Genomic DNA, 12,017 nt, shown 5'->3' with positions numbered 1-12,017 from the left:
GTGGCACCACTGCACTCCAGCCTGGGCAACAAGAGCAAAACTCCGTCTCAAAGAAAACCCCAAAAAACAGTTATTCTGATTCAGTAAATGCTATCACTGTTTATCCTTCTAAAGATATGATCAGATTTCATTAGTAATGTTCAACTTTTCACAAAGATGGTGAATGCCATCTAAAATCTATTGGAGATTTTTTTAATATTTAGATTTATGTAACTGGTTATGTAAATATATTTAAATACTGGGGGAAAGTCCTTCACTGTCTCAGAACCAAGCAAGATTCACCTGTATTTTGTGTTCATTTGCCTCTTAAAGGCAAGGGCTGAAGATAAGGTAGCAATGTCAACTTTATATTTTTGGCCTTAACTATGCCAATCTAATTAGAATTTTCTGTATCTAAAATGGTTCATTTTACTTACTGAAAGACATTTTGGTGTGGTTTATGTATAATATCAAAGAAAGATTATTTAACACTTCTCAAATTAAAAAAAAAAAAAGAAAAGAAAGAGACAGATCGTATCAAGAGCTGGCCATGGGCTGGGTGCAGTGGCTCATGCCTGTAATACCAGAACTTTGGGAGGCCAAGGGAGAAGGATCACTTGAACCCAGGAATCTGAGACAACAGAGACCCCGTCTCTACCAAAAATTAAAAAATTAGCTGGGCATGGCCCATGCCTGTAGTTCTAGCTCCTCAGGAGCCTGAGGTGGGAGGGATCACCCGAGCCAGGGAGGTCAAGGCTGCAGTGAGCTGTGATCGTGCCATTGCATTCCATCCTGGGTGACAAAGTGAAACCCTGTCTTTAAAGTAAAATAAAATAAAATAAAAAAGAGTTGGCCGGCCTGGCGCGGTGGCTCATGCCTGTAATCCCAGCACTTCGGGAGGCCGAGGCGGGCGGATCACCTGAGGTTAGGAGTTCGAGACCAGCTTGACCAACATGGAGAAACCCTGTCTCTACTAAAAATACAAAATTAGCCGGGCATAGTGGCGCATGCCTGTAATCCCAGCTACTCGGGAGGCTGAGGCAGGAGAATTGCTTGAACCCAGGAGGCGGAGGTTGCAGTGAGCAGAGGACGTGCCATTGCGCTCCAGCCTGGGCAACAAGAGCAAAACTCCATCTCAAAAAAAAAAAAAGAGTTGGCCAAGAAAAGAAGCAACTAGACTTTTCAGATACTGCTGATAGGCAAGTAAGTTGGACAATCACTTTGGAAAACTGTTGGACAGTATCTACTAAAGTTGAATGCATTTACATGCTATGACCCATCAGCTCCACTCTTTTTTTTTTTTTTTTTTTGAGACGGAGTCTCGCTCTGTCGCCCAGGCTGGAGTGCAGTGGCGCGATCTCGGCTCACTGCAAGCAAGCTCCGCCTCCCGGGTTCACGCCATTCTCCTGCCTCAGCCTCCCGAGTAGCTGGGACTACAGGCGCCCGCTACCACGCCCGGCTAATTTTTTGTATTTTTAGTAGAGACGGGGTTTCACCTTGTTAGCCAGGATCATCAGCTCCACTCTTAAGGGGTATACACAACAGAAATGTGTACCCAGGTTCACCAAAAGACATGTACTATACTAAAATATTTGTATCACAACTATCCTATAGCCCCAAACTGGAAACTGCCCAAGTATTCCTTTGTAATATCACAGATAAATTGTGGTATAGTCATGCAATGGAATACTACGCTGCAAAATAGAATTGTCTATAGGAACAGCATGGATGAATCTCACAAACATCATTGTGATAGAAAGAAATACACAAGTATACACAAACATGTTTATACTTAATGAGACAGTTTATATAAAGTAAAACAACAGGCAGAACTAATCTATGCTATTGGTAATCAGAATAGTTACTCTGAAGGGTTAATGACTAGAAGGAAAAGAGGGAGGGGTTAATGACTAGAAGTGAGCAGGCAGCTTGCTTGCAGGGGCTGGTAACATTCTATGTCTTGAGCTTACAGGGTATGTTCATAGGACTGTTCAATTTTTACAAATTCATCAAGCTGTATGCTTGTGACTAGATACATTTCCTTATAGATACTATTTTTCAAATTTAAAATTACTTTAAATCCACAGAGACAGAAAGTAGATTAGTGATTGCTGGGTTTTAGGGAAAGGCGGAATGGGGGAGTGATTGCTAATATGAATAGGGTTTCCTTCTGGAATAATGAAAATGTTCTGGAATTAGTAGTGACAGCTGCACAATCTTGTGAATATACTAAAAACCCTTGCATTATACATTTTAAAATGGTTAGTTTTATGGCATGTAAATTATAACAATAAAAATATTATTATAATAAACATCCTTGTAAGAGCTTTTGTGCCCCTGTGAGGATATATTAATATCTGTAGGTTATAAGATATGTATCAGACAACTCCACTATCTGAAAGTTTCCAGGGGGCCTAAAGTAAGACACCAGGGGCTGCTAGACAATTACTGTAAGACATACAGATTTGCCATATGACCCTCTTCCCCACCCAGTCCATCACCCACTTCCAGGATACAATGTGGGGAAGGCTACCTGACTGGATTGGTGAGGAGCTGTCCTTTAAAAAGAGTGGTTGGCCTGATAGGGTGTGTTTTGAGAGTGAGCTGGAGAGAAAGGGTGTGTTTTGAGACTGAGCTGGAGAGAATGCGTAGGAGAGGCTGGTTGACGTGTCTTGAAGAATTTGAGAAACGTAAGGACACAACCGACTTTATACCTGACAGTTATAAAGTCCAAAGTGAAGAGGTTGGAAGGTGCTACCTGCCGGCAGAGTTGGGCCCTGGCAGAAGCGGGCTGTCTTCCTACACATGGCAGGTCAAGGGTGTGCTTCCCAGAGGCCAGAGGCAGCTGGACTTGGGGCATCCTGCAAGGGCCCTATGCAACCTCCCAGAACTGCCAGAAGGAGTAAGGGGAAAGCAGCAGAGAGTCTGCTGGGGGAGGAATGCCGGAAGCCGAGGCTGGAAATGGATGCCACCAAAGCAAAAACCTCAAACATGCAGCATGCAGTGCCTCTTTGAGACTGTGGCAAAGTCAATGAACAGACACCGCAGGCGGGAGGCTCAGAGGTTCTTCAGACCTTGTGAGCCATGCAAAGCCCTCTGGAAATCTGAGTCTCAGATAACCTGGAGGGCCAACTGTATGCCTACTGAGCATATAGCTCTGGGGACAGGTAGAATGTTCCTGAATACCGGTGGCTTCTTGTTGCTTTTAGTAGATGTGACAAGAAAAGAATAAGCCAGGAGATGGAATGAAATGGAGCATTGGAGATAAAAGGCTGCACAAACGTGGAAAGTCAAAGGGAGAATCTAAGGCCTTTTTTTTTTCTTTTTTTTAGAGATGGAATTTCGCTCGTTACCCAGGCTGGAGTGCAATGGCATGATCTCAGCTCACTGCAGCCTCCATCTCCTGGGTTTAAGCGATTCTCCTGCCTCAGGCTCCCGAGTAGCTGGGATTACAGGTGCCTGCCACCACGCCTGGCTAACTTTTTGTATTTTTAGTAGAGACAGGGTTTCACCATGTTGGCCAGGCTGGTCTTGAACTCCTGGCCTCAGTGATCTGCTCACCTCGGCCTCCCAAAGAGCTAGGATGACAGGCGTGAGCCACCGCACTCAGCCAGAGAAGCTAAGGCTTTGAACAGCAAAGACTTCCCATTGAGCCAAAACAAGGGACTCAGTCCTGCTGCAAAAACCAGGCTGAGGGCATTGCTGGTCTCCAATCTTATTGTTTAACTTGACTTCAAGGTACCTGCCCTTAGGCTGAGACAGCTGGGCATGGGGACATGCAAGGAGATAAGGCAGCCTGAGACTCCCATCCACGGAGGAAATTTGGATGTGGTTCCTGGCACATGGGACTGCCTGAAAGTGAATAGCTCAGAAGCCTACTTTTGGGAAAAGCCTACTCTCAAAGAAAAATGAGTCTGGGCTGGGCGCAGTGGCTCATGCCAGTAATCCCAGCACTTTGGGAGGCCGAGGCGGGCGGATCATCTGAGGTCAGGAGTTCAAGACCAGCCTGGCCAACATGGTGAAACCCCGTCTTTACTAAAAATACAAAAATTAGCTAGGTGTGGCACTGCACGCCTATAGTCCCAGCTACTCAGGAGGCTGAGGCAGGAGGATTGCTTGAACCCGGGAGGCGGAGGCTGCAGTGAGCCGAGATCGCACCACTGCACTCCAGCCTGGGTCTCAGGGTGTGATTTCATAAAAGAAAAAAAAAGAGAGAGAGAGAGAGAAATGAGTCTGGCCTAAAATAGCTGACTGGAGTCTTAAAACACCCTGTGGAACCCCAAACTGTTATTAGCAGGAAGTGGGCTGTGAAGGCTCCTTGCCCCGGAGGAGGGCACACTTCCCACTGCCTGCCTGCCTTGTGGCCAAGGAAAATAACAGACAAGGAGGAGCCTCTCGAGAGGCTGAAGCAGGGATTTGTGGAGGAACATGCTCCTCTGCCAGGGCAGAGGTTGATCCAGTGCTGCCCAGCAGGGCTCCAGTGCTGCGGGCAGCTAGTGCTGTGCCTCTTTTCTGAATGGAGTTACAGTTGCAGTTATCCTGCCCCTCTCCATCGTGTGTGTGTGTGTGTGTGTGTGTGTGTGTCTGTGTGTGTGTGTCTGTGTCTGTGTGTAGATCAGAAGAAGCCATTCCTAAAGCTGGGAGAGAGGAGACTGCATGTCACCTGGAAATCTTGGACTCGGAGGTGGCTGTGGTGACCACATGGGCATCGGTTGGCTCTCTTGGGGCTGGGGGTAAATGCATCTGAGTGTGGAAGGAGGGTCCATGCAGATACTGGTTGGCAGGGGGTAGACTGTAGCCGTGCCTGACAGCTTTCCATGGGGAATGCCGTGCCGGCTTTTTCCAGGGCACTCGCTAGACTATATTTCCCAGCCTCCCTTACAGTCAGCTAAGGCCACACCACTAAGTTCTTCCCACCAGAATGTGAGTGAGGAACAAATGCCACTTCCAGCCCTTCTGTGCTTCTAGCCCTTTCTGGCCAATGGAACTTGGACAAGGTGACTGAGACTCAACAATGCAGAGGACAGTAAGGCACTGACAGATAAAGACCAAACTGGAAGCTGGAATGAGTGTAGTTCCTAATTCACTTCAGGAGGTATGCCAACCCTGTACTGCCCAGAGAGGAGGACACAAACGTTATTGGTTTGAGCTATTAAATATTTGGGTCTATTTGTGATAGCAGCATGGCCTGCTCTAACTATTAGGGTATTAAATAAAATAATATTGAAACTCTGGAAACAACCTGAATGTCCAACAGTAGGGGATGGGTTAAATGGATTATGTCACATCCATGCAATCTAATACTATTTCATTAAAAATAATGTGGTGGATACTCAGTCACATGGAAAGATGCCTAAGATTGTTGCTGCTCAGGAAGAAAACCAGGTTCTAATGGGAGAGGCAGGGAAGGAGAGAGGAAGATACCTATGACGTGGAAGGTGTTTTATCTTACCCTGGGTGGCCCAAAGTTCCAGATTTCCTCAAATTCATCAAATAGACACTCTGCTTTTTGACATTCCAAATCTGGTTGAGGCCACGTTGGTTCGAACTCTGAAAGCCAAAGTTAAGAAGTACGTTACTATTTTTCAGTGAATTATAACCCATTAATGCATAATTTATATATTGCTACTTCTACATTCGAGTGCCTGTAACCGAGTGCTCCATTTTTTCTAAGAAAAAGGGAATATGTTGCTTTTCTTAAAAAAAATTATCCTCTCTTCTCTTCTCCTCTCCCCTGGTTCCCGGTTTCCTACTTAGCCCTTCAGAAATGCAAATATAACCTTTCACCTCCCCTTCACCATACATTCCCTTCAGGGCAAGCTTTTCTAACTGTATGCTCTTCCAGAGCACAGATCTCTCCACATGACAGTAGATTCGCAGACCAAAGCAAACCCATCACGGAACTTTCACCTCCAGTGGGTGGTGGCCTGGCACTTCCACCCTTGGGGGTTGCCTCAGGACTTTCATTCACTGGGAGGGCATACTGAAAGCATGCCCACTTGGCCACTGCTACAGCTTATTACTAACCAGGAAGGTGCCAAGTCAACTGTCCTGTAGAGTATGCACGGAACTAGCAGAGGGACCCCCCCACTTGCCCTTGCACACTTCCCCCCTTACCTTATAAAAGTGTCCACTTTCTACTTCCAAGGGGAAGCAGCACTTTTAAAGAAAGGCAGGATGCTTTGTACCCCTCACCCAAGCTAGTTTCGGAGTAAATTCACTTTTTTTGGTACCAGGCCTTGCTCTTGTTAATTGGACTCTGCATCCGGTGAACAACTAACCTGCATTTTGGTTAAATAATCATGCTGAAGTTTTTTTTTTTGGTTTTTGTTTTTTGTTTTTGAGATGAAGTCTCGCTCTGTCGCCCAGGCTGGAGTGCAGTGGCACGATCTCGGCTCACTGCAACCCCCGCCTCCCGGGTTCGAGTGATTCTCGTGCCTCAGCCTCCCGCGTAGCTGGGATTACAGGCACCCGCCACCGCACCCGATTTTTTGTATTTTTAGTAGAGACGGGGTTTCACCATGTTGGCCAGGCTGGTCTTGAACTCCTGGCCTCAAGTGATCTGCCCTCCTCAGCTTCCCAAAATGCTGGATGTGAGCCACCGCACCCAGCCCTATATTAAAGTATTTTAGGAATATTTCTTAGGATTTTTTTTTTTTTACCTTCTTTTAGTGCATTACAGTGATTCTCCCTGTGTCTCTCTAAGCCCGTGTTTTCCAATAGGCTAGCCAACAAGCCACACGTAGCTATTTACATTTAAATTTAATGAGATAAAATATAAAGTCAGCTCCTCAACTGCACCACCAGTTTCGAGAATCCTGTGGCCACATGTGGCTAGTGGTGCAGACACAGCATTTCCATCACATCAGGAAGTTCTACTGGGCAGGGCTGCTGCAGGCTGTTCAGGTTACAGGGTGGTTAGCAGGAGGCTGGGAGGCATCCACAATGCTCTTAAAAGGTCACTAAGAGAGGCAACAGGAAATAGCAAGAGGCAGAATCCTGCTGAAGTCCAGAAGATTTGGCTCTGACTGCTGACTGCTGTCTGACAGATCTTATTATCATGATCTGCAGGACAGAATGTGACCTGTTGATTTTTTTTAGTCCCTAACTGCTGGACATCCAGGTGACAGGGTCTGAGTTGATTACCACCAGCTCTGCTGACCAGCTGGGGAGATGAAGGAAATAATCAGACAAGAGCCACTGGGGCACAAGAGTGGTGCAGCTGGAGTAGGGAGATGCAGGGGAGGTGACAGGGGAGGTGATGGAGCGAGGAGGGGGCGCCCTGGGTCTTGCCAAGGACCTCAGCTGGACGTCATCCTGGGAAGGCACCGAAGGGCTTTAAGAGATTGGTGATAAGGTTTACATTCTCCAAAGGTCACTGGTTGCCATGGAGAGAAGAGGCGAGAGACTGTTAGTTACTGCTCTTGAGCCAGCAGTGCCCTTAGCAAACTCAGAAAAGAGAAGGCAGAAGGCACAGGGCTGGGAAGTAAGTGGAGGAGGAAACGGGCTGGGGGACAGTGGATGGGGAGGGTGGGGCAGAGTGCAGACCTTAGAAACACATGTCTCTGAAGAAGTGAGAGGGCAGCCATGATAACCACTGTTAGAGCTATCGCACATTCTACAGTGTTCTCCATCTGCTTGACACTGCTCTCAGCCTTTATGTAAATGGACTCAGTCTTCATTACAATCCTGTGAGGGACGTACTCTTATTACAGTCCTTATTCTTGGTAGTTATGTGCTACAAAGTTGCCACAAACACTCAACGAGCAAATTATTTATAGGAGAAATACAAGGCTAGGTACCCTGTAAGCTGCTGGTCACAACATTGTTACCAATCGATCAATATATAACCTTATTTCTGTTTAAAGACACCTTATGTAATATATATAGTTGATTCATTAACACTGATCTTGGCTGGGCATGGTAGCTCACACCTGTAATCCCCGCACTTTGGGAGGCCAAGGTGGGAGGATTACTTGAGCTCAAGAGTTTGAGACCAACCTGGGCAACATAGAGAGACCTCATTTCAACTTGAAAAATAAAAAACATGAGGCCGGGCATTGTGGTTCGTGCCTATAATCTCTGCAGTTTGGGAGGCGGAGGCGGGTGGATCACCTGAGGTCAGGAGTTCAAGACTAGCCTGGCCAACATGGTGAAACCCCGCCTCTACTAAAAACACAAAAATTAGCAAGGCGTGATGACATGTGCCTGTAATCTGTGCTACTCAGGAGGCTGAGGCAGAAGAATTGCTTGAATCCGGGAGGTGGAGGTTGCAGTGAGCCAGGATCGCACCATTGCACTCCAGCCTGGGTGATGAGCAAAATTCCACCTAAAAAAATATCAAAAACATTATCTGGGTGTGGTGGGGTGTACCTGTAGTCCCAGCTACTCAGGAGGCCGAGGTGGGAGGATTGCTTGAGCCAGAGAGGTAGAGGCTGCAGTGAGCTATGATTACACCATTGCACTCCAGCAGCCTGGGCAACAGAGGGAGACCCTGTCTCAAACAACAACAACAACAAATTAATTGATCTCAGGACAACAGCACCTTAACTCATGCCTGACAAAGCTTCTCTAACACATGCATTTTCTCTGTAAGGAACATCACAGCCTCCTCGTGCTAAACTTTGCACTACACTTGGAGACAATTTTAACAGAGAAATAACCAAGAAAAAAGCATAAAAATCTGAAAAACATGGCACTAATCAGACTGTGAAAAGGACACAGTTTACACTATGACAGCTGAAATAAGAAGGCAGGGCAGCACTTTGTTGGACCTTGGCTGGGAACATGAGCCTGGAGGAGCTCACATTTTTTTGCCGCTCTGCACACATCTTTGAAACGACCCCAAAAGGCTAGGGGTACTGATTTTGGGGTAACAAATTTTAGCAAGTGAGCAAATTAACAAGTACAGACTCTTAACGAATGAGGATCAACTATAGTTGTGTTTTACAGATGAGGAAACTGACGCACCAAAGGGTAACTTGCCTACACAGATACACAGACATTAAGTGGCAGAGCTGGGATTGAACCCAAGCTGTCTGGCCCCAGAGTCTGTGCACAGTGGAAGGAATTGTTTTCCCAGGAATTAAAGCAGTGCTCAAAACATCCAAGGAAAAGTGTCTGAGAATGTGGGGCTCACCTCAGGGAAGTTTCCATCTCTCCAGGATCCTGGCCCCTCAAACCTTAGTTGTCTTAGTCGCTGATACCTTCACAATAGCTGTTTTTGTTTGTGTGTGTGTGTGTTTAATTTAATAGAGATTTGATGGTTGTTACTGGTGGGAAGGTCAAATGCAGTTACTCCTTCAAAGGCACAAGTAGAAGTCTTTCTTCGGCTGTTTTTAATCATAAAAAAGAACCGTTGCCAAATACTCCTTGCTTTATATTCTACCTGCTTTTGCCAATTTAATATTCCTCGGGCAACTGCTAAACCTTTTGGAACCTCAGTTTACTCCTCTGAAGGAAGGGATCGTGGTACTCACAACAAACCTCACAACCGTGAGCATAAAACAAGAGAACAGAAATACCCCAAGTACAGAGCCTGAGGGTATTCAGGCTCTGAACAAAAGAATGGAGAACTAGGTGAGAGGCAAACTTCCGCCTCTGCCTAAGGGAGGCTCCATTCTGTTCTGCTTGAGGGAGGCAAAGCTTGGAGGTCAAGGTCATAGGATGAGTGTTCTTCCTTTTTTTTTTTTTTTCTGAGACGGAGTCTTGCTCTGTTGCCCAGGCTGGAATGCAGTGGCACAATCTAGGCTTATTGCAACCTCCGCCTCCCGGGTTCAAGTGATTCTCCTGCCTCAGCCTCCTGAGTAGCTGGGATTACAGGCGTGCACCTCCATGCCCAGCTAATTTTTGTGTTTTTAGGAGAGACAGGTTTCAGCATGTTGGTCAGGCTGGTCTCACTCCTGACCTCATGATCCACCCACCTTGGCCTCCCAAAGTGCTGGGATTACAGGCGTAAGCCACCGCACCTGGCCATGATGAGTGTTCTTTCTAAAGCCACCTGGCAGCCATGTCTCCCTCTAACTCCAGGTCACCCGTGAGCCCTTGGACCACAAGTCATGGTAGGCTTGCCTAGCTTGAGGCTTCAGATGTGTGTGCTCACTCACACAGTGCCTGCTCATGGGATGCATTTGAGGAAATATTAGATAGTTTCTGGGCCTGAAGTCTCAGGCCCAGTGGTCAGGAACCACTTGACCCAATCATTGCCTACCCCCTGGTAAGGACTGGCCTGGATGGCCAGCAGGGAGCCCAGCTTTCCTTCCCAGGTGTCCCCTTGTCACCCCCGGCCCTGTCAAACCACAGCACTTGAAGAGTGAATCAGGACCCATACCTCGCAGGGGAGGATGAACTGGCACCACCACTTTTGGCATCAAATGAGTTGATTATTGGCTGCCCCTTTGCCCAGCAATTCCATTCTGAGAAATTCACCTGAAAGGAACTTCTGTCCATGCACAAGAACAGTCACAGCAGCACCATCGTAACAACAGAACACTGCAATCAACCAAATGTCACCTAAAGGAACCTGGATAGTGTGATTTACAGTGTGATATATTTACCCAACCAGATACTATCCAGCAGTGAGAACAAATAAAGGACAACTGCATGCATCAATGCAGATGACGCACAAAAACAGTGTTGAACAAAAGGGGCAAGCCATAGCAGAACAGATACAGCAGAATACCTTGTATATAAGCAATACATGGATTGGGGGAGATACAGAGGAGGTCAAACTCTAAGAAAAGGAGGGTACGATGAACAGAATTCGGGCTGGCAGATTCCTCCAGGGAGGACAGGGCAGTGATGGGGTGAAGACAAGGGCCTCCAGAGGAACAAACAAATTCTATCTCTTAACCTGGTGTCAGGGATACAAGTATTTGTTATTTGTCTTAGTCTGGGATGTTATAACAAAATACCAGCCACTGGGTGGCTTATAAACAATAGAAATGTGTTTCTTAGAGTCCTGGAGGGTGGGAAATCCAAGATCAATGCACCAACAGCTTTGGTGTCTGGTGAGGGCCAGTTTCCTGGTTCATAGATGATGCCTTGTCACTGGGCTCCGTTGGGCTATTTTAGAAGGGCACTAATCCCAATCATATGGGCTCCACCCTCATACCTCATCACCTCCCAAGGGCCCCACCTCCTAATATCACTTTGGTGATTAGGTTTTAACATATGAATGGTGGGGTGACACAAACATGCAGACCATAGCATTTATTATTAGTTTATAAGCAGTATAAATATTTATTTATTTATTTATTTTTTTCTTTGAGATGCAGTCTCGCTCTGTCACCCAGGCTGGAGTGCAGTGGCACGATCTCGGATCACTGCAAGCTCTGCCTCCCGGGTTCACGCCATTCTCCTGCCTCAGCGTCCCGAGTAGTGGGGACTACAGGCACCCGTCACCACGCCCGGCTAATTTTTTGTATTTTTAGTAGAGATGGGGTTTCATCGTATTAGCCAGGATGGTCTCCATCTCCTGAACTCGTGATCCACCTGCCTCGGCCTCCCAAAGTGCTGGGATTACAGGCGTGAGCCACCGCGCCCGGCAGCGTATAAATATTTACATATCCTTTTCTATGTGTAAACTTGTGTAAATTGTCTGCAAGACAATAAAAATGATTTGAAAGTGAGTGAGGGTATAACCTGCTTGTTAGGCCTAAAGCCAAAAGGTCATAGGATCACAGGTGGTGGTCTTGTCCCTCTAGGAAAATGGACAGATGTCTAAAAGCTGCCCAAGGCATGCAGAAGTGGATGCCACAGGAGCTTATTGAGTCATTTAAGAGACAGCATGCTATGGTTTGAATGTTTGTCACCTCCGAAACTCATGTTGAAACTTAATTCCCGATGTGGCAGTATTGAGAGGTGGGGCCTTTAAGCGGTGACTGGGTCATGAAGGTTCTTCCCTCAATAATGGATTAATCCATTCATAGATTAATGGGTTATCATGGGAGTGAAACTAGTTAGGCTTTATAAGAAAAGAAAAAGACACCTGAGGTAGCACACTCAGCCCCTTACCATATGACGCCCGGTGCCGCCTC

The 12,017-nt window shown here is 46.6% G+C and overlaps 1 protein-coding gene across 2 annotated transcripts in view, besides 2 other annotated features; it reads right to left on the bottom strand.

Annotated features, from left to right (window-relative positions):
* The window catches only part of FXN (frataxin), a 43,325-nt gene that overhangs the window by 27,163 nt on the left and 4,145 nt on the right, over positions 1-12,017 (bottom strand). For both annotated transcript variants that reach the window (NM_181425.3, NM_000144.5), the window contains exon 2: positions 5,432-5,529. In NM_181425.3, the coding sequence (NP_852090.1) occupies positions 5,432-5,529 (98 nt within the window). The remainder of the gene's footprint in view (positions 1-5,431; positions 5,530-12,017) is intronic.
* Positions 5,549-6,544: an enhancer, noted in NCBI's record as "NANOG-H3K4me1 hESC enhancer chr9:71660286-71661281 (GRCh37/hg19 assembly coordinates)". NCBI's record gives its function as "activates a minimal SCP1, AML or CMV promoter by ChIP-STARR-seq in naive H9 embryonic stem cells {active_cell/tissue: H9 hESC(naive)}" and the evidence as "EXISTENCE:reporter gene assay evidence [ECO:0000049][PMID:30033119]".
* Positions 6,847-7,141: a silencer, noted in NCBI's record as "tiled region #4997; HepG2 Repressive non-DNase unmatched - State 19:H4K20". NCBI's record gives its function as "represses a minimal TATA promoter and a strong SV40 promoter by Sharpr-MPRA in HepG2 cells {active_cell/tissue: HepG2}" and the evidence as "EXISTENCE:reporter gene assay evidence [ECO:0000049][PMID:27701403]".

The sequence above is a fragment of the Homo sapiens genome, chromosome 9, assembly GCF_000001405.40.
Source record: "Homo sapiens chromosome 9, GRCh38.p14 Primary Assembly".
Classification (NCBI taxonomy): domain Eukaryota; kingdom Metazoa; phylum Chordata; class Mammalia; order Primates; family Hominidae; genus Homo; species Homo sapiens.
This window is presented reverse-complemented; position numbering and strand designations above follow the sequence as displayed.